The sequence below is a fragment of the Homo sapiens genome, chromosome 12 (assembly GCF_000001405.40).
Source record: "Homo sapiens chromosome 12, GRCh38.p14 Primary Assembly".
Lineage (NCBI taxonomy): Eukaryota > Metazoa > Chordata > Mammalia > Primates > Hominidae > Homo > Homo sapiens.
In genome coordinates, this window is record NC_000012.12 from 21,634,435 (window position 1) to 21,659,759 (window position 25,325).

General features: G+C 37.4%; 1 protein-coding gene across 7 annotated transcripts, besides 5 other annotated features; it reads right to left on the reverse strand.

The window, feature by feature from the left end:
• LDHB (lactate dehydrogenase B) lies at nucleotides 908-23,408 on the reverse strand. 7 transcript variants are annotated; one of them, NM_002300.8, is made up of 8 exons: nucleotides 23,317-23,408; nucleotides 20,109-20,243; nucleotides 12,465-12,582; nucleotides 9,501-9,674; nucleotides 7,518-7,691; nucleotides 3,919-4,036; nucleotides 2,637-2,760; nucleotides 908-1,275 (listed from the first exon to the last, which is right to left on the reverse strand). In NM_002300.8, the coding sequence occupies exons 2-8, from the start codon at nucleotides 20,235-20,237 to the stop codon at nucleotides 1,108-1,110; spliced, it is 1,005 nt and encodes a 334-aa protein (NP_002291.1). In that variant the 5' UTR covers nucleotides 20,238-20,243; nucleotides 23,317-23,408; the 3' UTR covers nucleotides 908-1,107. The 7 variants fall into 6 exon arrangements, with proteins under 7 accessions (NP_002291.1, NP_001302466.1, NP_001167568.1 ...); NM_001174097.3 differs by having other exon boundaries at nucleotides 23,034-23,408; NM_001414234.1 differs by lacking the exon at nucleotides 20,109-20,243.
• Nucleotides 22,960-23,049: an enhancer, noted in NCBI's record as "active region_6093". NCBI's record gives its function as "activates an Ori minimal core promoter by ATAC-STARR-seq in GM12878 lymphoblastoid cells {active_cell/tissue: GM12878}" and the evidence as "EXISTENCE:reporter gene assay evidence [ECO:0000049][PMID:35858748]".
• Nucleotides 23,080-23,329: an enhancer, noted in NCBI's record as "active region_6094". NCBI's record gives its function as "activates an Ori minimal core promoter by ATAC-STARR-seq in GM12878 lymphoblastoid cells {active_cell/tissue: GM12878}" and the evidence as "EXISTENCE:reporter gene assay evidence [ECO:0000049][PMID:35858748]".
• Nucleotides 23,307-23,835: an enhancer, noted in NCBI's record as "NANOG-H3K27ac-H3K4me1 hESC enhancer chr12:21810675-21811203 (GRCh37/hg19 assembly coordinates)". NCBI's record gives its function as "activates a minimal SCP1, AML or CMV promoter by ChIP-STARR-seq in primed H9 embryonic stem cells {active_cell/tissue: H9 hESC(primed)}" and the evidence as "EXISTENCE:reporter gene assay evidence [ECO:0000049][PMID:30033119]".
• Nucleotides 23,307-23,889: a biological region, named in NCBI's record as "NANOG-H3K27ac-H3K4me1 hESC enhancer GRCh37_chr12:21810675-21811203".
• Nucleotides 23,710-23,889: an enhancer, noted in NCBI's record as "active region_6095". NCBI's record gives its function as "activates an Ori minimal core promoter by ATAC-STARR-seq in GM12878 lymphoblastoid cells {active_cell/tissue: GM12878}" and the evidence as "EXISTENCE:reporter gene assay evidence [ECO:0000049][PMID:35858748]".

The following is a 25,325-nucleotide window of genomic DNA, read 5'->3' on the forward strand; positions in this document are numbered from 1 at the left end:
GTTTGGCTACACCTTGTCGGCAGCGGTGTGTGACTGGCATTGGTTGGGTAGATGCTGCTAAACAGCCTACAATGCGCAGTTCAGCCCCCACTACATAGAAACATTCAACCCAAAAGGTCAATAGTGTTGAGGTGAAGAAACACTACCTTATAGGATAGTTGGGATGATTTAGCTAAGTTAACATCTATGAAGCACTTGGAACAGTAAGCACTACTTAAATGTTAGCTACCATGATGACCAAGCTATGTGCTAAGAGTTTTACATAATTTTCTCATTTAAACAACCCATATTGAAGAGGTGTTGTTATCATCACTGTTTTATAGGTGAGGAAAATGAGAATTAGGAGTGATTAAGTAGTTAACTTGACTAAGATCACAGTTAATCAACGATAAGGCCAGCACTCAAGTCCAGGTTTATATGACACCAAAACTCATGTTTTAAACACTACCTAAATTGACCCCTACATATGACATGTAAATTTGGAACTCTTTGTTAAAGGAAGTCTACCTAAGTTTCCCTGTAAATTCACATGTTATGCTATCTCCAAGTAGACTCAATCTGAATAATCCAGACCAAACTTTCATTTTCCTTCATTATTAAATAGAATTCTAACAAAGTTTCCATTTTAGGGGTTCTTCCTTTTAAAACGGGCTTCCTTTGTAAATGTCATATACATTGACATCCGTTACAACTTCTTCAGTTATAACCTTAAAAAGATAATCATATTCTCAGGACAACAACAACAAACCGTGGCACCTGTTGCAAAAAAGAATTTTTGTCTCATCCAGAGGGAGGAGTGTAGATGATGTTGGAATTTAGGGACATTTATGACGTGTGGTAAGAATGACTTGGCAGACTGACTGAAATCTTTCAGGAATCATTAAGGAAGGAATCCCAGAAACAGAAGCACACTACAATAGTTAATTTTATTTGTTCAAGAGCTCAGATTGCAAGCATTAAACCAAGCATAGGCTTTGATTCTGTGAGCCCAAATTCACATATTGAAGAAGATCAAAGCAAACTGTGATCCATGTACATGGATGAAAACTAAAGGCTCGAGTTAATCACATTGTAGTTTTTAAATTTCTACAGCCTAGAGCTCACTAGTCACAGGTCTTTTAGGTCCTTCTGGATGTCCCACAGGGTATCTGCACTTTTCTTGAGCTGAGCAACCTCATCATCCTTTAGCTTCTGGTTGATAACGCTGGTTAATCCCCGGGCATTGAGGATACATGGAAGGCTCAGGAAGACTTCATTCTCAATGCCATACATCCCCTGCCAGAACAACAAAGCATCGAGATTAAGACATGAAACTGTAAGTAAAAATGATCAAAGACAGGAGGCTGAGGTGGGAGGACTGTTTGAGCCCAGGAGTTTGAAGCTTCAGTGAGCTATGACAGCGGTACTACTCTCCAGCCTGGGTGACAGAGCAAGAACTAATCTCTAAAGGGGGGAAAAAAGAGAATAATCAAAGGTCCGATGTTCCAACAGAAAGAATTGTAGAAAACTTGATAGGCCTGAACTCATTCCCTAATCTAATTTTCATCACTTACAGGTCCACATTTCCCCAATACTTATGTTTTGAATTAGGTTTTATACATAGAATATGCAAACATACACTATGAGAAAATTAGATATTTGTAAGTAACAAGTACTTATTTAATTTTATTATATACGTATTTTATTGAACACTGCTCTATTTAAATACACTTTAATAAATTTTGATATATGAGTCTTCAAATTAAATTGCTTTTAATTGTGGTTCTTAATGGATTACTTTCTATGAAATTTTAAGTTGCTTAAAGACTTTTAGTTAGGAAGAAATTTCAGGTGGTAGCCAACTTATGAGGTCCTGGGTAATAGTTAGAGACCATTAAAAGGCAAGATGCTTGGAATACCCAAGAATTGCTAAAAAAAAAAAAAAAAATACAATTTCCAAAACACTTTACCAGTTCGTGTGGGTAATTTATTCACAGGGTCAATTTAACTATATAACTAATTATATTAAACATACCTTAATGTCAGTTTTTAAACTTTTAATTTCAAAAATTTTGTACATACACAAAAGTAGATAGAATAAACAAATTCCTATGTATGTACCCAAAGACTCAGTAATTACCCAATTATTGACACACTTGATTTACACTGACTTGTGGAAAATGAGTCAGTTGTCTTACAAAATATTTTAATATAATTTTAGTTTTGTTTAAAAAATCATTAATTTCTACCTGTTTTGTGCATTTGCTCCATAGCTTTTGAATTAAACTGTATTTGCTAAGGTATCAAGTGCTATATGAAAGGCAATCTAGAGTTTAGTACATCAACTTTAAATGAAACTCTATTACACTTATTCAAATGATCAATACTTTAAGAATGTGCTAAGATTCAGAGTTAATATTTAATTTGCAAAATTATATAAAGAATGACAACAATCTATTGAATGTCTTAGATTCTCTAAGTTTTCTGCCCTTGCTGTCCAAGACTTCTGTTGGAAAATGAGAATAGTTTACATAAAACTTTGAGAGACAGAAATAACCTTGAACTATGATTTTATCTGGTCTGAGCCTCTTTAAATGAATCTTTTTGTAGAATACAATGCGAGAAATCATATTACATTTTGTGGTAGTTTGTCTTACCTTTACCATTGTTGACACGGGATGAATCCTGGATAGATTTTTCAACATGGATTCAATAAGATCAGCCACACTTAATCCAATAGCCCAGTTGGTATATCCTTTTAGCTTGATGACTTCATAGGCACTTAAAAAAATTATAAAAGACATCACTGAAATAAGACTCAATCATTATTGAAACCAGACCTGACTTTGACTACTGCTCTGTCTCTAACTATAATCTTGGGCAAATTATTTACCCTTTATTGCCTTAGTGTTCCCTTTTTGAGTGTTAAATGAATTAATATATATGTAAAATGCTTAAAACTGTAAGCACTACACAGTAAACACTATATAAATGCTTGATAACTTTAGTTTATTGTATAAGTTAAGATTTATAAAGTCACTGTGGCAAAAATATACATTTTCCAATCATTGTAACAAATCTGTAAACATATTTCCAAACACATAAAATCAGGAAACAATAAAAGTGAAAGAACAAAATATATCTCAATTGTGAGGTCCCACTTGCCACTGTCACCTAACATAATCAACTAACTAATAAAAGGGATAAGAGTATCTTGCCTGACAGTTTTTTCAGCACAAATTGTAGCTCTTAAAACCCATAAAGGCCCTGGCACTTGAGAAGCAGCAGGAATAACTCTAGCTGAGTATTGGAAAATTAGGATTTAATGCAATTGACACCCAATCATTAGAAGACCTTGGACCAGTTACACTATCTGGGTGAGCCATAGTTTTCTCACTTGTAAAATAAAGGTATATGTTAATTGAAATTATAAAGACTCTTTCAACTTTTTTAAGGTTCCTTTTCTCCACATATAGTTCAAATTCCTGAAAAAAAAATTACTAAAATTGAACAAAATGATTCTATATTTGAGACATCAGTTAGTCCTGTTATTAAAACTTAAACACTGTTAGCAATCAGCAAGCAAGTTTATTTATTTGGGGCAATTATGAAACCAATAGTTTCTAAGTTTACTTTTCTAAATAAATCAACCTTATTTGTTGAGAGGTGGCAATTTGAAGACTCTTCTCACTTGTTAATTCCACATTTTGCTCCTGTTACCTCTACAATAGAGTTTCTCTAGAGAAAATATTTACTTTCCCTAGGGAGACTGGCATAGCAAGTTTGACCAGTGTAAAAGTCTTATCAGTTTCAAAAGATAACAGCTGCATAATTACTACATTAAGAGTTTATCTGAGCAGACAGCCATGGAAAATGTTTATAATTTTATTTAAGTAGAGTTGAAATTAATCATCTAAAATCAAGTTCCCTTTCACTTACCTTTCAACCACCATCTTATGCACTTCCTTCCAATTTTCACTATCATTGTCAGTTCCCATTTCTGGATTCAATTCCTGGAGAGAAACACCTGCCACATTCACACCACTCCACACAGCCACTGTTTAAAAAAAAAAAAAAAGACATTGCAGTTATTTCTTACATTATTTTAAAAAATATTTTCTTCTTTTAGTGCAATTTCACCTATGATGCAAATTACTGAATACCAACTGGAACTGCTCCAATAAGTGACTCTCCAGTAGATTCCAGTATAGTTCCCCAAAAAGGCTGACGTTTGCCTTCAAATAGCAACATGTCTGACCTTTTAACTTTCAAGAATTTTAGTGCAAAGCAGAATTGCTGTGTCATAGTTACAGAGAAAATAAAATTCTTTGCTTCTCTCTAGGTGTGTGAAATCACAGGGATTCTAGTTGGGGACTATGCTAAACTTTTGGTTTGAGGAATGTTTAACTTTTCTCCTCCATATTTTTCTAATATATGCTCCTTTATTCTACAGTAAAGAAAAAAAATCCTAGAATAAGACCCAAATAAAGCATAATTATGAAAGTGGGGTAAAAATTATAAATAAGGGTCTACTTAATTTAAAGGAGAAGAGTATCAGAAAGAACTACACAAAATGGGCCTTTGAATTGGACCTTAAAACCTAAGTTATATGTTTCTTGGAGACCTTTGGAGGAGTACATTGTAGACTCTGGAAATAGGAGCAAAAGTGTGGGGTAGAATCTACTATGACTGAAACAGATATGAAGGGAAAAGCTATTTAAAGCCAAATAAGATCCCCTATTAGTCCACAACTTCTGGCAAGTTAGGGTAATTGGATATTTTTACAATTTTGATGAAAATTATGAAATCTGCATAATCATGTCTAGTGAGCATGGTTTAATTCTCTTTCATTTTACGTACACAATATAGATCAACATGAAAAATTTTAAAAAGATGTTCTGGGAAAAATAACAGCCATAATGTAATAGAACATTGGACGGGAATCAGAAGACATAATTCTAGTGGTAGCTATGGCATTAACTAACTAAAAGTTCTTCAATAGCTACTTCACCTACTTTGCCTTATTTTTTTTCTCACTAAAATTAAAGTCCTGAACTAGAGGACATGTAATATCACTTTTTCTCACTAAAATTAAAGTCCTGAACTAGAGGACATGTAATATCACTTCTATCACCTAGCAATGTATAACTACACCTAGCATTTACTGAACTTTTACTGTACACCTGACATTGTACTAAGTACTTTTTACATAGTACATAGGTGGCATAATTATCTTTATTTTATAGATGAGGAAACAGGTTCAGAGAAGTTAAGAACTTGCTAGTCACATTATCTTGTTAAGAAGGGAGAGCCAAGCTTAAAGTTATGGAGTTGACTTGCTAAAAACTTTCCATGCTCAAATTAATCTGATCAAGAGAGACACATAGGACCATTACAATTAACCAGACAAAAATTCAGATGAGTCCCTGGAGGTAAACAATTCTTGAATAAAGTGATATGTGTCAGAAAAAAGTCAGCATTCTTATATAAAAAATCAGAAATAAATTATGCTACAACTTCAAGAACAAATTCTTATAGCACCAAGATAAACCCTTTACTAAAATTGCATTTCAAACTCCCACTGAATTCAAAGGAAGATTTATACTCTGAGCTTATTGGGAGAAAATAGTCCTTTACACAGGTGGCAGAAATGAATTTAGTAAAATAAAAATATTATTTATCATCATTATTATTAATAAAATATTTTAAATTATTAGTTTCAATATTGGATTATTTTATTATTTTTTTTTGCCATGAGCTTATTCAATATATTGTGGTTTAATAAACAGATTTAGATCTATGAAACAGAATCAAAATTGTTCAAAAACAGTTTTACATAAAATTGTTCAAAGAATAATTAATTTAAATGAGAAAAATATTAATTTAAAATAAAACATTTATAATATAGTTTTAAATTGTCTGAACACGAAGCACTAAAAAAAAGTGTAATGTGATTTTAATGTTGCTCTTTTTGAATTACTAATTTATGTACAATTCTTTACTTCAATTTAAGTTCCTAAAGAAACTATTTAGTTTTATCATACAGTCTCTTACTACTTAAATAATTGATAGTTATAATTAATAGTTTATTAAAAATAAGATTTCATTTGAGGTAAGGTTTATTTTACATTATAGAAGAGTAGATACAAGTTATTTATAAGCTTTTGTTACCTAACTCATTCCTCCTTCAGCAAATACAATGGATGTAATAGCTCTGTCTACTCAAAGGGCCTAGAAGCAAAGATATACCAGTAGCACAAGCACACCTATGCCCTGATCCTGGTTTCTAACTACCATTCCTCACTAAAAGGAAACAGGGCTCATTAGGGAAACAGCTGATTCTAGTGCTGGGAAGGGGAAAGTTCAAAATGAGGCTGGTGCAATTTATTGTGCAAGACAGTGCTCAAAAATGATGGGACATGTTAAAAAAAAAAAGACGTAAGAGTCAGTTTGAAAAGCCTGGGACAACTTGAGCATTACAAATGATAGTGACACAATATTTTGGGCATGAGATAAAAATCCGAGGCCACATTGATATCAACAAATAAATAAAGAGGGAAGATGAAAAATTTCTGTCTTACAGTGGAATGCAACTAATACAGAATAAATGATGGAATTAGTAGATCATGTTTGACAACTATCATGGTAATTTATTCAACCACAAATCATTAATAGATGCTAAATTTAGCAGAGAAAAATTGATGAGGAGTCAGACATTTTCCTAGTCAGCATCAAAACATCTTCCCACAAATTACTCATAAATTACAAAGGAAAAGCAGTAACTTCACACAGAGTAACCTGGCAAAATACAACCTTAACTGAGTTATCACAGTTAGTGTCACCAATTGTTGGCCACACTGACATTACATGCCTTTGGATGTGATGCCATGAGAAAACTATAGGGTCATTTCTGTGGTATTTGCACCAAAAGTTCATAGCTCAACCTAATGATAAAGAAACAATCAGACAAGTCTAAAATGATGGGCATTCCACAAAATAACTCACCTGACTTTTCAAAAATGTCAAGATCATGAGAAACAGAGATAGACTGAGAAACTGTTCCAGAATGAAGGAGGCTAAGGATATATAGTAGATGTAATGTGTGAGCCTAGAATGGATTCTGAATTAGGAAAAAAGCTTTAGAGGACACTATTGAGACAGTTGATAACTTGTGAATAATGGACTCTGGATTAGATAATATTGTTTCAGGGTTACATTTCCTGATTTTGGGAAGTGTACTGTGGTTATGAAAAAGAAAATCTTTGTTTTGAGGAAATACACAGTAAAGAACTTAAGGAGAAAAAGGTGAGGGAATTGATTTATGCTTAATTGATCAAGGTAAAGATAGATGATAGGTAGATAGAGAGATGAGAGAGTAAATGATAAAGCAAAATGGAATAGAATAGAAAAGTAACTACTATTTTTGCAACTGTTCTTAAGTACATCAAAGTCTATAAAAATAAAATTTGAAATAAAATGAAAAATTCAAAATGGCAAAACCAACATCACAAGTAATTATTTCTTTTTTTTTTCTTTACCACTTGAGTCGCCATGTTCCCCCAAAATCCATCCATGGCAGCTGCTGGGATGAATGCCAAGTTTTTCAGCCATAAGGTAGCGAAATCTAGCAGAATCCAGATTACATCCACTTCCAATCACGCGGTGTTTGGGTAATCCACTTAGTTTCCAGGTAACATACGTAAGAATGTCCACTAAAAATTTTGGAAATAATATATGTAAGTAAACCAAAACCAACTTCAACTGTTAGGCAGCTTGGGGTGCCCTGGCTTCCCTTTTCCCACTTCCCCACTCCCCAAATGAGATGTGGCCAGAAAGATTAAAGTAAATACTTTAACTTTTCATTGTTAGAGATACCAGGAATGACAGTGACAAAAACAAACTTTTAAGCCTTATATGAAGATTGCAAGACATGAAAAATGCAATACTGTGCTTTTACATTTGCATTATTATGTGAAACAAGAATATTTAAGAACCTTGCAGATTAATTAACTTAAAGTTGAAAAAAACAAAACAGGTTGAACCAGGTTGTCAGTTAAGTTTCCCCCAGTTGTAACATTCCATAATTATAATGATTGTCATCATAAACCAAGAAGCCTTTGATTACTAAACTACCAAATCTTGCTACCACAAATTTTTCTGGGCATGAGGTATTCTTCAGTAAACAACTGTGATAATACGTAGTATTAAAAATTTCTATTTAATAAAAGAACATCTATGTCAGAACCTTTGCTCCAGCGTGGCATAGCCTTAAAACCACAGACATAAAACTTTTGCTGATCCAGATAGGATCACAGCACTTGCAGGCTAAGCTGTAAAAAGTAAAAAATGTGCACACAAGGAAGGTGAAGAGCTGAAAGTTAATCCTGCAGCCTCCACCCCCACACTAATCTGTAGACAATGGCTAAGATAATTCAAGGACATTTGGGACTGGATAACTTTTCCTTGCCAACTTTGATTCCATGGAAGTGACTCCCTGGAAAATCCAGCTGTGAAGCTATATGTAGAAAGTTGCATAATCATTTAGTGACGCCTGCCTGAGGCACAGGATGCAGTAACTTACTATGTGCTAGCTACTTGTCATTCCTATTCTACATCTACCTGGCACATATATATTTATGAGAAGTTTTATATATAAGACTGAACCATTTAATAAACTCCAATCTTGGTTTGCAGAAGTAAAAATATGGAAATAACCTCTGTCCTTGCTGGCTCTCAACTCTCAATACTCAAGATACTGTGGGGATTCCCCTAGCTCTTATTCACAGTGTTTCTCTATGGGAAGTGTGAGAGATAATCAGTCCAGTTTCTTTACTATTTTCTCAATGTACCTGCTATGCTCACCAACATGCAGTAATTTTGGTGGCAAACTATAGATAAAAGCAGTATATCAAATAGAGCATATTTTAGCTGTTAAGGCTAAAAAAGTGCATTCTTTCTAGTCAGAAGGTTTAATGTTCATCCTGTAGATGTCAAGTTAGCAAGGAAAGCAATTTTTAAGTCAGAGCATTTGGTGTTAGCATATATTTGTCCATCAATTCAGTCTATTTCTATCTTTAAAACAGAATTGTTTAATGGCTTTCTTATATGCTTCTTTTCAAAGTTGATCTGTTTCAATTCTGTATAATGGGATTTTCCAGAAAATAAAAGGTCAAATATGTCAAAATGTTTCTTACAAATTGAAACTATGTTCGAATGCTTCATTCTCCATCCCAGGATAATCTTTATAAAAAAGTTTTAAAAGCCTTCAGAATCTATAACCAAGCCAGATGAAGCAAAAACATGAAATTGCTTTAGCTAAAACTCTTGTCACATTTTTTGAACATCTGGCCTGGGACAGAGGCATTTGTTTTGCAAACACCACTATTTAGGGCCAATGAAAGAAGACATGTAAACTGCTTCTGTAAATGAATACTGGGACTGATTTTAGTCCAAAACAATAACAACAGAAACACCAAAACACTGAACTTAACAGAACAGAGACTTAAAGTATACAATAATACCTGGGTTGGAAACCACAATTATGATGCAATCAGGACTGTACTTGACGATCTGAGGAATAATGAATTTGAAGACATTAACATTTCTCTGCACCAGATTGAGCCGACTCTCCCCTTCTTGCTGACGGACTCCTGCAGTTACCACTACAATCTTAGAATTGGCAGTCACAGAATAATCTTTAAAAAGAAAAGCAAAAACAGGTACTTTAAATGCAACTCTTCATTATAACATAACCTATATGACATGCTCTAAAAGCCTAACCATACATAAGCTTCTAGAACATATATGTGAATTAAGTTTTCTGTATTGTAAGGGCTTGAAGTTTAATGTTCCTGTGGCTTCTTTTTTCTCCCTTGAGCTACACTGCAATAATCCAAACATCAAACTGCCTCAGAAAATAAAGATGACCCGAAAGTATGTTTTTGGCTATGAATTCAATGAATTGTCAGGAATAAAATGAAGTGTAAACAGTGACTCCAATAGGTAGACATCAAAAAAAAAAAAAAAAAAAAACAAAAACAAAAACCAATTTTAAGTTACTTTTATCTTAAAAAGTTAAAATTTAGGAAGGGAAGGAAGGCAGTGAAGTGTTTGGTTTTGTCTGGAAACTAAAACTTGGATTTCTAATACTCAATATTTTTAGGAAGCTTATTTGCTTTTTAGCGCTGCAAGTTTCCCTGGAGATTTGATTTTTTTCTTAAGGAAGTGTGTCCTTTTTCGAAATATATGGATATTGCGATTTGATGTGATCATTTGACTCAACAGCTATGGATGATTCACATAATTAAACTGGGTTACAGTGCGGCTTTTGATGATTGGTAATACTTTGTAAGGTTCCTCTCCCATAAAATGGCAGTAATTATAGTCCCTACATTTCATAAGGTTGTTGCAAAGATGAAGTCAGATGAAATAATATGTGCAAAATGTTTCACACAGTACCCAGAATGTTAAAAATTTATACATAATAGCTATTATTTAGTTTCTTCAAGGCATTGAAATTACTTTGTACTGTGGGGAAAAGAAAGAGAGATCAGACTGTTACTGTGTCTGTGTAGAAAGAAGTAGACATTAAGAGACTCCATTTTGTTCTGTACTAAGAAAAATTCTTCTGCCTTGAGATGCTGTTAATCTGTAACCCTACCCCCACCCCTGCGCTCCCTGAAACATGTGCTGTGTCAACTCAGGGTTAAATGGATTAAGGGCTGTGCAGGATGTGCTTTGTTAAACAAATGCTTGAAGGCACATGCTTGTTAAGAGTCATCACCACTCCCTAATCTCAAGTACCCAGAGACACAGTACACTATGGAAGGCCGCAGGGACCTCTGCCTAGGAAAGCCAGGTATTGTCCAAGGTTTCTCCCCACGTGATAGTCTGAAATATGGCCTCGTGGGAAGGGAAAGACCTGACTGTGGGAAGGGAAAGACCTGACTGTCCCCCAGCCCGACACTGGTAAAGGGTCTGTGCCGAGGAGGATTAGTAAAAGAGGAAGGCCTCTTTGCAGTTGAGGTAAGAGGAAGGCATCTGTCTCCTGCTCGTCCCTGGGCAATGGAATGTCTCAGTGTAAAACCCGATTGTATATTCCATCTACTGAGATAGGAGAACACTGCCTTAGGGCTGGAGGTGGGACATGCTGGCAGCAATACTGCCCTTTAAGGCATTGAGATGTTTATGTATATGCACATCAAAAGCACAGCACTTTTTTCTTTACCTTGTTTATGATGCAGAGACATTTGTTCACATATTTTCCTGCTGACCTTCTCTCCACTATTACCCTATTGTCCAGCCACATCCCCCTCTCCGAGATACGCCCGATAATGATCAATAAATACTAAGGGAACTCAGAGACTGGTGCCGGCGTGGGTCCTCCGTATGCTGAGTGCCGGTTCCCTCGGCCCACTTTTTCTTTCTCTATACTTTGTCTCCGTGTCTCTTTTCTCCAGTCTCTCGTTCCACCCGACGAGAAATGCCCACAAGGGTGGAGAGGCAGGCCACCCCTTCATTGTACCAATACTTTTGGGGTCTAAAACATGCTAGTTCTCAGATACATATAAACAAGGCATTATAATACAATAGCCCAAAATGTTACATATCAAATGTGTAGAAGGTCTGTGGGAGAGGGTTAATGTAAGTGATACTTGAGTTTAACCTTAAGGATAAACTGGACCCAGATGAAAAGAAACTGCCAACACCAGATTCACCAGGATGGGAAGACTAATTTTATAACAGACTGAGGGAGGAGAGGAGAATGATGAGCCATGAGGAAATGCAGGTTATATCTAAATTGAGAGCTGTGCAGGCCCTGCCAGAGGTTTTAGAATACAGACAAAGGTTTATAAAAAGATAAGAAATCTTTAAAGAAAAGAATGCATTCAAACTTTCATTTTAGGGAAAGCATCTGTTTTAGGATAAAGATAACTAGTGTGGCAGTGTGGAGTGTGGAATACATAACCATTTTCTACATACACTTCCAATGGGAAAATGTCAATTTGCTATGTGTACATTTTAGCAGTAGCAATGAGTTTCTAGAAACGGATGAAAGAAAATTGGCCTATAGAAGAAACGTGGTAAAATAAGCCAAACAATGCGATAAATCCAATTTGTTATTTCCTGTTAGTGACATATCAGTGATCACTTACGGCTAGCAAACTCATTTTAGGTAGCTGTCCATTAATAAGTGAATATAAAATATTTGAGAAATAAAAAGTAGAATACAGTAGAGAAGTAAGAGCTTTTTATAAAATGAGGAAAAAGAGGGAAACATTTTATAATTATATAACAATTTTGCAATAATCTGAATTTGCTAAACTACATTATAAATATCTTATTAACAGTTATTGAAATAACTGTTCCAAAACTTCAACCTTTCCTACTTACAAATAAATCTATTATGCTGTAAGATGCATTCCAAATGTGTTTTGGGGCCATGAAAAAAATATTAGATCACTTTGGGCATTAAGTGAAATTACCTTTATCTGCCACAATTTTAGGTGTCTGAAGAAATAAGCTCCCATGCTGCAGATCCATCATTTCTCCTTTAAGCTTATCTTCCAAAACATCCACAAGAGCAAGTTCATCAGCCAGAGACTGTAAACGCAAAAACAGGCATTAGAACCCTAAGCCACTCTAGGATGCGTCAGCTCACAATCTAACCCAAAGAAAGATCTTTAACATGGCTAAGCACCAAAGATCTAAACATCTTGAGAATTTTACCATGGAGTTAGATACTCAATGAGGATTCAGTTCACATGATACAAACTATACTTTAAGAACATGTAGACTTAAAGATTCATTAGGAAACCAGCTTAGTTCAAGAGTAGGCCTAGTGAATACAAGTCTATATTAATGGAGAGGGAATGGTGAAAACAAAAATACACTCAGGCCCAGAAACAACCTTGGGCAATGTGTCCATCCTTGAGGTCACCCCAATTTGGAGGCTTTCTGAGATGGTAGATTTGGCTTAAATCACCAGGAGTGTGAGTTTACTTTAGAGTAGGATTTGAAACCCAGGTTGAAGCTTGGAATCTTCAGGGTGGCTCTGATCCACTCAAATGTCTTGGTGGGGAAAGGAAGATGAGTTTTATGGACAGAGGAATCTAGGATTGGGAGGTTTTTTCATGTGATCACTCCAAATCTGTGCCTGAGACTTGCCCAGTCTCAGATTTCTTTTGTTTTCTATTCCAATTGTCATTCTCTGTCCCCCATTCAAAATACAATCTAAAGTAATGAATATACTATTTAATCTTGATCTGGAGTCATATTTTTTTTTGAGACGGAGTCTCGCTCCGTTGCCGAGGCTGGAGTGTAGTGGTGCAATCTCGGCTCACTGCAGCCTCCGCCCACTGCAATCTCCACCTCCCGGGTTCAAGTGATTTTCCAGCCTCAGCCTCCTGAGTAGCTGGGATTACAGGTACGTGCCACCACACCCAGCTAATTTTTGTATTTTTAGTAGAGATGGGGTTTTGCCATGTTGCCAAGGCTGGTATCGAAATCCTGACCTCAGTTGATCCACCCGCCCCGGCCTCCCAAAATGCTGGAATAGGCAGTGCTGGGCCTGGAATCATAATTTTTTAAATTTTCTCAATATCTACATAAAAGTGAAAGAAAGGAAAAAAAAAAGGTGGTTGGTCTACATGCATCTAAGCAACCTTTCAGCTATGAAATTCCATTATCTTATGGAAGTCATAATTTATAAACTGTTTATAAAGTGGTTATCCCTCCTATTGAAACATCACCAGAGTCCTTGCTCTTACTGTTTTTATGGCTGTTAGCAAAAATATCAGCTAAGTAGAATACATCAATACTGGGGCCCAGTTAAAAATGCCAATACAGTCATTCCTCAATATACGATACTCAAGGGATTGGTTCTAGGACCTCTGAGTGTACCAAAATCTGGGCATAATCAAGTATACAGAAAGGACAGTATTCACCGGATGCAAAAGACTCTCCATATATGTGGGTTTCGCATCCCCTGAATACTGTATTTTCAATATACTTTTGGTTGAAAAAAAAAATCTGCCTGTAAGTGAACCAGCCCATGTTGTTCAAGGGTCAACCTCTTCTAAGAATAGTAGTGTGATCAGCTACACAGGTGAAGGGTATTAATGGGGGGGAGGGGCCAGGTAGGTAGGTAACTGGAGTTCAGGAAGCACTTTGAAGAATAAGGTGGAATAAGGTGGAGTAGCCCAGGCAGCAGGGGCCACCAGACGGAGATGCAGCAAAGAGCTGGGAGACAGTCAATAAGAAAAGTTGACCTACTCAGCTTGTTAGATAAAGCAAGTCTCCTCCCTGGAATACAATGAATAAACACTGTCCTCTGTTGCTAAAATCTAAGTGGCTGCCTGGTCTCATGAAGTGAGTTACAGTGGGCTTGCTTGTGAGGGTTTCTCTAAGACTGAAGCTTCCCGATGACTGAATGTGTCCTTAGCTCTGAGCAACCAAATTACTTGCAGATTTTTGAAATGATCATTCTGTGAGTTGGGGATCACGTACAAAACATTTCCTCATTTCCATGTGTATCAAATACTGGCGTTAATTTTTATCCATTTTTCCTTAAACACGTTTTGACACCTTTAAGGCTGCTTTTGTTCTTTGCAATCTCTGACAAGAACACACAAAATTCTCATTTGTATTTTTTAAGTCCTAAATTAATGCAACATAACTTAATAATAGCTATAATGGTTCTATTAAGGTACTGAGCACTGGGAATATCACTCTTATTTTAGTAACATCACATGTGTGCTGCTGAAATCCACAGGGCAAAACAATTTAGTGCTTAAGTAGAAAAGGATGTCACAGGATGTCAGATCCTGTCTCTGTTTCAGTGGGTGTAGAGAATTGCCTGAGAAGTGCATATTCGGCTGAAAAGGAAGGAAGAGATCCAACACTTAAATAATAATAATTGTAACACTGAATTTAGCTGCATCCGCAGCACTGAATATCCCCCAAATGGAGAGGCGTGATGTGTGACTAAGTACTGGTGCTATTGTTTGGCTTAAATAAATCTCCCTCTGTATTCACATATTTTATACAATGAATTTTCCATATATATATTTCACTTAAGCTGTAAGCATGTTTAAAATGTTTGAAACAGCAAGGTTTAGATTAACTGCAAAAGCAGTATTCTTATTATGGATCAAGGTCACTTAGATACCAAGAATACCACTGTTGAAAGCTTGCTTAATGTATCACTAAAATGGCTTTAAAAAAACCTATTTATTTTTACTCTACTCCTGTGACAGACTTAAAAAAAGGCTTTTAATCTAAAGTCCTGTGTGGACCAGACACAGCCATATATTCTGCCTCTTCCTCCTCCTAAGTAATAAATTACTACCACCAGTGCCTTAATATTTGATGGTTTCATTTTTATATCCAAGTGTTGGCCAGGGGTGGTGGCTCATGCGTGTAATCCCAGCATTTTGGGGGGCTGAGGCAGGCAGATCACCTGAGGTCAGGAGTTTGAGAACAGCCTGGCCAACATAGTGAAACCCTGTCTCTACTAAAAATACAAAAATTAGCCGGGCATGGTGGCATGCACCTGTAATCCCAGCTACTCAGGAGGCTGAGGCAGGAGAATCACTTGAATCCGAGAGGCAGAGGTTGCAGTGAGCAAAGATTCTGCCACTGTGCTCCAGCCTGGGTGACAGTAAGACTCTCTCTCTCAAGAGAAAAAAAATACACACACACACACACACACACACACACACACACACACACACACACGTCTCTCTCTCCAAGTGTTTAGTATGCATAAAATTTTGCGGGAGGAAAAGGTATAACCTTTCTCAAATAATTAACTAAATGGATATGTGCCATCTATTCAATAGTTTGTGTTTCTTCCCCTCTGAAATGCTACTTCTACATTATTATTAAATACTATTTGAGCATGTTTCTGGCTGAAATACCAAAGGTGGCTTGTACAAATACCAAATTTTCATTATGTTTTACTTTTAAGCCCAGTCTTGCACTGCAAAAACTACTTTGCAATTTGTCGTTGTACCTACCTTGCTCCTCCTAAGAGCTTTGTTATATACTGTGTTTGTCCACAAGAACATGGCTACAGTTGACTGAAGCAAAGATAAACACTCAAACCAAAGACAGACTTAGAAGCTAAGGATTTATGATAATCTTGCCTCAAAGCTCTTCATGACCCTTACAACATGATGAGTTCGACATTCAGATCCTCCTCTTGGTAGTTAAAATGCAGAGTCTGAGATGGATAATGGGATAAAAGTAAAGTCTGGTAGTAGAAGATGTAAAAAAATCAGAAGCCATGACCAAGTTTGACAAAACATGAGTGAAGCTTACAAGTAATAGCAGGAGTATTCATTTATTTATCATGTAAGTGCCTGGCATTATCCTCCTACTCAGGTATACAGTTACGATAAAGTCTCTGCTGCCATGGAACATATCAGGAAGGAAATAGGAATTAAACAAACAACAAATCAGGCTAATCTCTGAAGGTAGAAGTGCTCTGAAGGGCATAAGACAAGGAGATGTTGAAGCTACTGGGAAGGAAGTTTATTTTATATCGGAAGGCAGGGAAGGCCTGCCTGAAAAGGCATGCATTTGCAGTAAGATCTGAATGATAAGAAGGGGTCAACCCTGTGGCCTAGAGAAGAACATTCCAGGTGAAGGGAAATGCAAGCAAAAGAGTTTAAGCAAAAATGAGATTGGCATTTGGGAGGCAGAAAGCAAATAGAAGAGATGAAGTCAGAGATGGTACCATCATGTTGCACTGGCAGGTCTGCTGCCTTGGTGTGTATGGTGCCCCTGCAGTTGTGTGCTCCATTGCTCTGCTCTGAGAAACAGGCAGGGAGGATTTGTGAGGCCTCATGGGATTTTATGTATGTGTGTAGCATATGTGCACTGTAAAATGACTGGAGAGTTTTAAGTAGCGGAGCCACTAGTTTTACAAAAGCTCTCTATGGTTATTATATAAGCAATGGGCTGCAGAGAGTGGGCAAAAGTAGAAGCCAAAAATAATCAAGTCTTCATATGGTGGGACACTGTACAAAGGGGCCTTAGTGGGCTTCGCGAATCTGGCTAATGCATGTCCCTCCTCAACCTCTCCAATGCTATGCTTTTATTTAACTTCTGGGGGCAAGGTACACCATCTATGAGCTCAAAAAGGCCAGATCTGGCACTTACTATCTGTGTGATCTTAGGTGTTTGGTTTTTGTTGATTTCAGCCATATGATATAGATGACAATATCCTCTGACATGTTACAGAAAGGAATAAATGAAGTAATATACAAACACCAACATGCAGTTATATTCCTTTCTCTATTAAGCTAGTGGGATTTCTAATCTTTACCATGTATTAACATAATTTGGAACCACTTTTATCTTTAACCGTTAAAATAATATTTAGACATTCTTAATTGGTAAAATCATCTTTCAACAAGTCAGTCATTCTTTCCTGCATTTATTTTTTCAAAAATATTCATTAGATAGTCTCCACATAATTTCTAAGAAAATGTACTCCATTTTGCAAAAGATAAAGGGAAAAGAACGCTAGATTGAAAAACAGAAATCATAGTCTCTGAATCTGAAGAGTCCAACTGTGGTAGCAGCAGGGGCTATTCTCTCAAGCCCTTGAGTTGAGCCAAAGTGTTATATAACTCCAGGCACAGTCTCAATTAAACTACTTACTGAAGAAGATTTAAAATTTATGATTACATCATAGAGGTACTTCTTATAGAATCATGATAGCTCAGATATAGTTTCCTGAAAGGCTCAAATTTTGAGATTAACAGAAGGTAAGAAAAATCTCTAGCTAGTATTTAATTAATACATTTATTTTTTTCTAAATGCTTAAATAGTAGCATTGAATAAAAAGAAAATTGAAAAGTCACTATGGTGAAGAGTTCAGAGCCCTGGGTTCAAAATACAGCTCCACCACTGCCACATGTGAGACTGTGGACAGGCTCTTTAAGCATCAGCCATCTCATCCAACAGCAAGTATATGAACAGTTCCTATCTCCTAAGGTTGTTTAAAATAAAGTATTTTATCTTTGAACATGGCACATACTCAATGTCTTTTTCAAAATGATGTAAGCTGAAATAGTTTTTGTTTTTATTGGCACGAACAGTGAGCGTGAAATTGTGGTTACTTCAATTCCCTGTAATCTAGGGAGCTGCCATCTTAAATGGTAGTTACCTAGTCTATTGAAACTAGCTAGAAGGAAATGCAAAAGGATAGGGAGCTGCTATCCTAAATGATAGTTACCTAGTCAATTGAAACTAGCTAGAAAGAAATGCAAAAGGATAGGGAGCTGCTATCCTAAATGACAGTGACCTAGTCAATTGAAACTAGCTAGAAGGAAATGCAAAAGGATAGGGAGCTGCTATCCTAAATGACAGTTACCTAGTCAATTGAAACTAGCTAGAAGCAAATGCAAAAGGATAAAATGTTCATGGGTGTGCACTACGTTTTTTAGTTTATTTTTTTGATAACTGTTTCTTAGTAAAGACTCAGTTTGCTGCTTTAGAATTTAAATTTTGAAAAAAGACATGGCTTGGTTAGGGGTTATTCAGGCAGCCTTTACATATGATACAAAGGGACAGTGTGTTCTCCTGAAGGCAAGGCAGCATTTTTGTTGTTGTTTCTACATTTAAGGCAGCCATCAGAAGAAATAAGGAATCCATTCAGTGAAATAAATAAGAAAAGGGCTTCTTTCCTCAAGTCTTCGAGAACTAAAGAAAGCTTAACTGTGGTTTGAACTACAAAGGATACATATGAGGTAAGGCAAAAAGCCTATGGAGGTATGTAAGAAAAATTGAAGTGGAAGGTGATAATAGAATGGTATTAGTGTTAAATCTCCTGATGTTGATAATTGCACTGATGATCTCAGAATATGTCCTATTCTTAGGAAACGTACTCTAAAACAGGGGTCCCCAACACCCAGGTCACGAGCCAGTACTGAATCTAGAGAATCTAGCCAATGCCTGATGATCTGAACTGGAACAATTTCATCCCAAAACTATCCCCTCACACATCTGTGGAAAAATTGTCTCCCACAAAACTGGTTCCCTAGTGCCAGAAAGGTTGGGGACTGCTGCTCTAAAGGACATGTAAGTAAAGGGCATAATATCTGCAATTTATTCTCAAATGGTTCCAGCCATCTATAGATAGATATAGACAAATACGTCATGGACATCTATGTATTTCTATAGATCTCTGTATCTATAAATCTACCTATGAACATACACATATATATATATACACATATATGTATGTATATATGGTGAGAGAGTATAAATAACAACATGTTAAGAATTGGTAAATGTAGGTGAATTATTTATGAAAGTTTTATTTTCTTGCCATTCTTAAAAATTTTCTGTAAATCTGAAATCATTTCAAAATAAAACCATTAGGTAAAAGTTTCAGGGGCATAACAGAATATTCCCACAACCTCACAAAGCCATGCATGGCACAGATTACTTATTAATTAAAAGAGGGAAAGGGATCTTTGCAGTGGAGAAGGCTTGCTGTGACCACTTGAACCAGGGGATTAAGTTCAGCAGTAATGAGACAAGTTGAACATCATGTGTCTCCTGATGGTCTGCACAAAGAAGGACATGACATCACCTAGTTCCAATCCCACCCAAAAAATTCAACCCGAGCTGAATTACAAGAAAACATCAGACAGACAAATTGAGGGACATTCTGCAGAACTCACCTGGATGCTAGAAAAATGTCAATGACACAAGAAACAAAGAAAGGTTGAGTAACAGTTCCAGCTTAAAGAATGAAGAGACGTAAGTATATGAGACACATGATCTTGGACTGAGGTGAAAATAGCTATAAACGGCATGATTTTGACAACATGGAGAATTTTAAATGTTAATAGTGTATACTGGATGATAGTATTGCATCAGTGTTAAATTCTCTAAGTGTAGTAACTATTTATGGTCACATAGGGAGAATATAATTCTTTTAGGAGATACATGCTTAAATATTTGAAAGTGAAGTGGGATTACATCTACAACTTCAAATTGCTCAGGAAAAAAAGAAATCTTTTAAAGATATAATAAAATTCCAAGGTGCCCAAAGAAACTGTGTATACATGCTGAACTTCTCTATCATCTATGGTGTTCTTGAAATGTACCTTTCCCAGAATGCTGATAGCACACGCCATACCAACTTGTCCAACACCCACTACAGTGATCTTATTGTTTGGAACTGTTGCCTCTTCTTCCGCAACTGGTGCAATGAGTTTTTCCTTAAGAGTTGCCATTTTGCACTGCAAGGAAAGAATCAAAACATTACACGTATATCTGCATATGAAATCCAAATAGAAATCATCCTTAAAATGTTACTGTTGCAATTTCGAACTGAAGTACAACTTAAAATGAGCCTAATGATATTCTAGAAAGCAGAATATATTTTAAAGAACCATGAGACCCGGCTGGGCATGGTGGCTCATGCCTGTAATCCCAACACTTTGGGAGGCAGAGGCTGGTGGATCACGAGGTCAAGAGATTGAGACCATCCTGGCCAACATGGTGAAACCCCGTCTCTACTAAAAAAAAGAAAATTAGCTGGGCATGGTGGTGCAAGCCTGTAGTCCTAACTACTCAGGAGGCTAAGGAAGGAGAATCACTTGAACCCAGGAAGTGGAGGTTGCAGTGAGCTTAGATCTCACCACTGCACCCCAGCCTGGCAACAGAGCGATTCCGTCTCAAAAGGAAAAAAAGAAAAAAAAGAACCATGAGACCCATTTAATGGAAGAATTCATTAAGGTAAAAACTTTCATGAAGCCCATTAGAATTGGATTTCTTCCTTCAGCCTATGATTCCATGTGAGTATTTAGTAGGTTGTTAATATTTCTGGCTAAAAACCTGTGAACATTTGTTTAAATTAGCTAATTTGTTTGTTTCCTCTATTAAGAATGTATATGTAACTATGTAAACTAAGTTTGGGTCTAGTATTGACTCATACTTAAGCTTGGATAAAAAGAATAAATGGCCAATTATGAACATAATTTCTACTACTAATGGTTATCATTCTTGGAAGATAGGGACTGATTCTTCTACTCTGTCTCACATAAAATGTGTTACAGTGTACTGGACATAGAATGCATACTTAATACATAGTGACAATATAATGGCAATGAATAATTTTTATTCAAAGTCTGCAAAAATATCAACCTGAATTCCTTTTAGGGCACCTAAGAAGCTTCTTGGAAAGTAGATAGACACTTAATACATTGTCGTTTCAGGGGATCACATTAGGAGACTATCAGTCTCTGAAACAGTTTCTGTCTAACCATCCAAACTAAAGACCCCTAAAATGTAAAAAAAAAAACAAAACCGAAACCTGTTGGAAAATGAACGATCTGTACAGTAACACCAAATGTACTTGTGCCATCAGATAACCAGATGTGTTTTCTAGATAACTGAAAAAAAGAGCAAAACTTATCGAAATAAACATCAATTCCATGGCAATTTATAGTACACTAAATATATACCACCCTGTCTTCTTGAACAGAGAATACAGATGGCAAATAAGCCTTTTCTTCACAATTATTACTTATAATTGTAGTAGCCCATTGTAATGTCCATGATTTTCACTTGTTTTTTACTTTTTATGTCGCATCTGAGGTCACCATACCTGTCTCAAACTGTACCAGAGCTTCCCAGTCTAGTTTTTAATTCTAATCTGCAATGGACTAAGCAATAAGTCTAGTCTATTAACTGTATACGTAAAGTAAGAGTTAGCAGGACTCAAAGTTGGAATAAAGCATCTGAATTTGGAGACAACTGTGTAACAACTATTTTATCTTATAGTTTTTTTTCCAAAAAATATTTCCTCCCATCTGTAAGGATAAATTAAAAGGAGATTCTTTCGCCTTTACAGATCACATTTACAGTTTCCTAGTGGACGTTAAAGAGAGAAGATGCAATGTTGTGCAAGTGCCTCCACAAATAGATGACCTTAAAATGAAATAAATTCAGACATGGCCTGCATTTTAAACAGGCTCAGAAGAAAGAATGCTGCATCTCTTTTTGAAGGACGACACACATGAATAGTTGTTCTGCACTTAAGTTTATTGTTGTTAGATGGTCTGTTTACGACCGTTTTGGTATACAGGGGGCCCAGGAAGCAGTGGAAAATGAAAATGAAGAAACAGTGGCTATATAAATACAGATTCGTTGTTCTGATAGACCTTTTAATTTAGAAAACTTCAGGAAGTACAATTTAAAGGCTCGAACCAGATTTTCTTTCAGATATTTCTGGAGAAAGTGCTTTTCTTCAATTTTTCCTTAAAAAGAGTTTTAAGAAATGAGAAGAAAATGGTCTGCATGATATACAGGCCTGTGCCAACATCAGAGTGCAGGCTGTAAGGAACAAGAACGACAAACGGTAAAAATCTCTGAGTCTTGGTCCCTTATGTCTCCTCACTGCTGTGGATATAAATCATTAGAAATAAAGGAGCGCCTTAATTTCAGGAACAAAGATCTTCTTTGCAGAATCTTTCTCACCGTAATCTTTTAAAAATTCAGGTTTTGCTTTTGAATTCCTCCCCTCCCCCCATTCCCCAGGCCCTTACTGCAGCTTGTACTGCTCGCGGTGCGCACAAACCATCTTTTCCTCAGGGCACCGGCAGCAAAGAACAGCAGATCACGAGGGCATGCAGAAGCTAGAGATCTCCCCGAGTAAGGTCTGTGGGGACAAGTCTAGGACTTCCTTACTCGGAGCACCCAAGGCTGGTAAAGTAAACGAAGCCCCTAAGCATCCAGAAAAGAGGCCCTGCAGGAAAGAACTGGCGCATGGCTCCTGGAAAGACCGTCAGAGCCGGGTAAAAATAAGTGCAGCGCCAAACGTGCTGGTCATCTAGGTGCCTTTCTCCTCATCCCAGCGAGTGCAAGGGCATTTCTCTATTACCGTGGCAATATATTCAAATATTCGAGGTAAAGATCGTCCAGCCTTCATAGGCCACCTGGTTCCGTCCCCCTCCCCCAGCTACTCGGGCACGTGTCCCGACTCCCGCCAGCAGGCCGTGGGGGTGATGTGGCCGCCATGAACCCACCAAGGACAAGTAGGGCCTGGTTTTAGCTGCAAATGCAACAAGTCTCTCCGCTGAGCCGCAGCTGCTACCCTCTGCCTTCTGCTCCTCCGCCAGGGCACGGCCCCCCCTGCGCCCCAAACTGAGCGGCAAAGTCAGGGCCCGCGGCCGGATGCTCAGAGCTAAAGGCCGCGGAGGACAGATGTGCTTCTTCCTCCTTCCCGCGTCTCCCCATACAAGTACTACCCCGCACGTCCCATCAGGCTTGCCTGTGGGCCAGGATTCAGGGTCCTGAGCCGAAACCTACCAGGAGAGAGAAGGCTCTGGAGACCTCTGTAACAGTCGTGCGGAGAAGACAAAGTCAGCTGCGTGCGTCTCCTCCGGCGCCGGCTCTGCAAGGAGGGAGGAGGGGGCGGGGCCCCACAACCACCGCAGCCTCTTAGGTTTCTCCATTGTGATTGGAAATCCGAGTACCGCCTACCCCTCCCCTCGGCTCGCTCAATCCCCTTCAAGGACAAGGGCTCAAGTATGCACACTCCCTCCCCCACCCTCCAGATGAGGAGGTCTCCTTCCAGAGGCTTCCGCTCTCAGCTGGTCTCACATCTCGCAGGCTCTTCAATGCGGAGGCCAAGTTATTTATAAAACTTGCCCATCCCCGACTCTTCTGGACTTTAACGCTCTTGTTCTATTAGATTTAGTACAAATAGAAATAAATTTCTTTCCTTCTTTTTTTTATTTTGAGACGGAGTCTCACTCTGTCGCCCAGGCTGGAGTGCAGTGGCGCGATCTCGGCTCACTGCAAGCTCCGCCTCCCGGGCTCACGACATTCTCCTGCCTCAGCCTCCCGAGTAGCTGGGACTACAGGCGCCCGCCACCTCGCCCGGCTAATTTTTTGTATTTTTAGTAGAGAGGGGGGTTTCACCGTGTTAGCCAGGATGGTCTCGATCTCCTGACCTCGTGATCCGCCCGCCTCGGCCTCCCAAAGTGCTGGGATTACAGGCCTGAGCCACCGCGCCCGGCCAGAAATAAATTTCTATGTTGCATTTCAGTTAAACTTTAAAGGACTTAAAAAAATACATCTGAATTTAGATCATCTCCGTTTTAAAGTTCATTTGATGAAAATGACTATTTTTTTCAACCTGTTTCAACAAACACGCAATGATTGCTTACTCGTTGCCTGACAAGACCAATGAGGCTTTGTCCCTGCCATCTGAAGTTCCCCTACAATTCCACCTGGTCTCAAGGTCAGGCTTTGCCCTCTAGGGGAAATGTGGGACCACTAAGTGAGATGCACTTTCTTTTTTAGTCCCTAATCGACTCCAAAGCTGGATGTTGTCATTCATTCTGTCTTCAACACTCAGCCAGTGCTTGGTACCTAAATATAGCATTGATGAATAAATGAATGAATGATAAATTGGAGGAATTCTGAAGAGTCTGGCTTCAGTTCTGTTTTCTTATAATTAAAATGCTTTCAAATATAGCCATCTCACAAACTTCCTGTATGTGAAGTGTTTTTTTTTGTAAATGCATATTTCTTGTATATGACCACTAATTCTATAATTATTGCTTCAGTTTATTCTCAGTGCCAAGCATTGGTAAAAAACATAAATATAAGATTATGCCCTTTGAGGTGTTCCTAGTCCATTGGAGACAGACAAGTAGGCAACCTATTTCAATTACAATAAGTGGCAATAGAAATTTGGTTAAAGTACAATAAAAATTCAGAGTAAAGAATCACTAAGAGAAGGGTTTGTTGAGAAGAATTCATAAGCCTCAAACTCTCCTAGCATAAATCATTCAGCTAGTGGGGACTTTGACTGAAGATACAGTCCAATTACAAATTAAAATGTGATGGTGAGGAAAAGAGCTTGGAGGATAATCTCAAAAGTATTACATTAACCCTAAATCCAAGTTTGAAGCAAGAATAGCCAAGTCAGCCTAGCAAGTTATCTAGAAGGTACCCTAGATTTCTTTTTCACTTACTTTGCAAGTCAGATATTTAGACTTTACTTCTAAATATCTTTCCACTTATTCCTCTTCTTGCCATCCCCATTACTGTGTAACTTTGGAGATGAGGTAGGAAAAAATGAAAAGAGGTATCTATTTCCCTCCTCTACCCTCATTTCCATTCCTCGCCACAAGGTGTTCTAATCTGATTGAACAAAGTGAATGCTCTAGTATGTAACTCTAAATGCCAGGAGAGCATACTACCCCTCTCAAATAGTTGAGAATTGTATACCCTGGCAAGTTATCTTTTATGTGTAAAACACAATTTTATATATACAATGATCCAGAAAATATATGCCCCATACCATT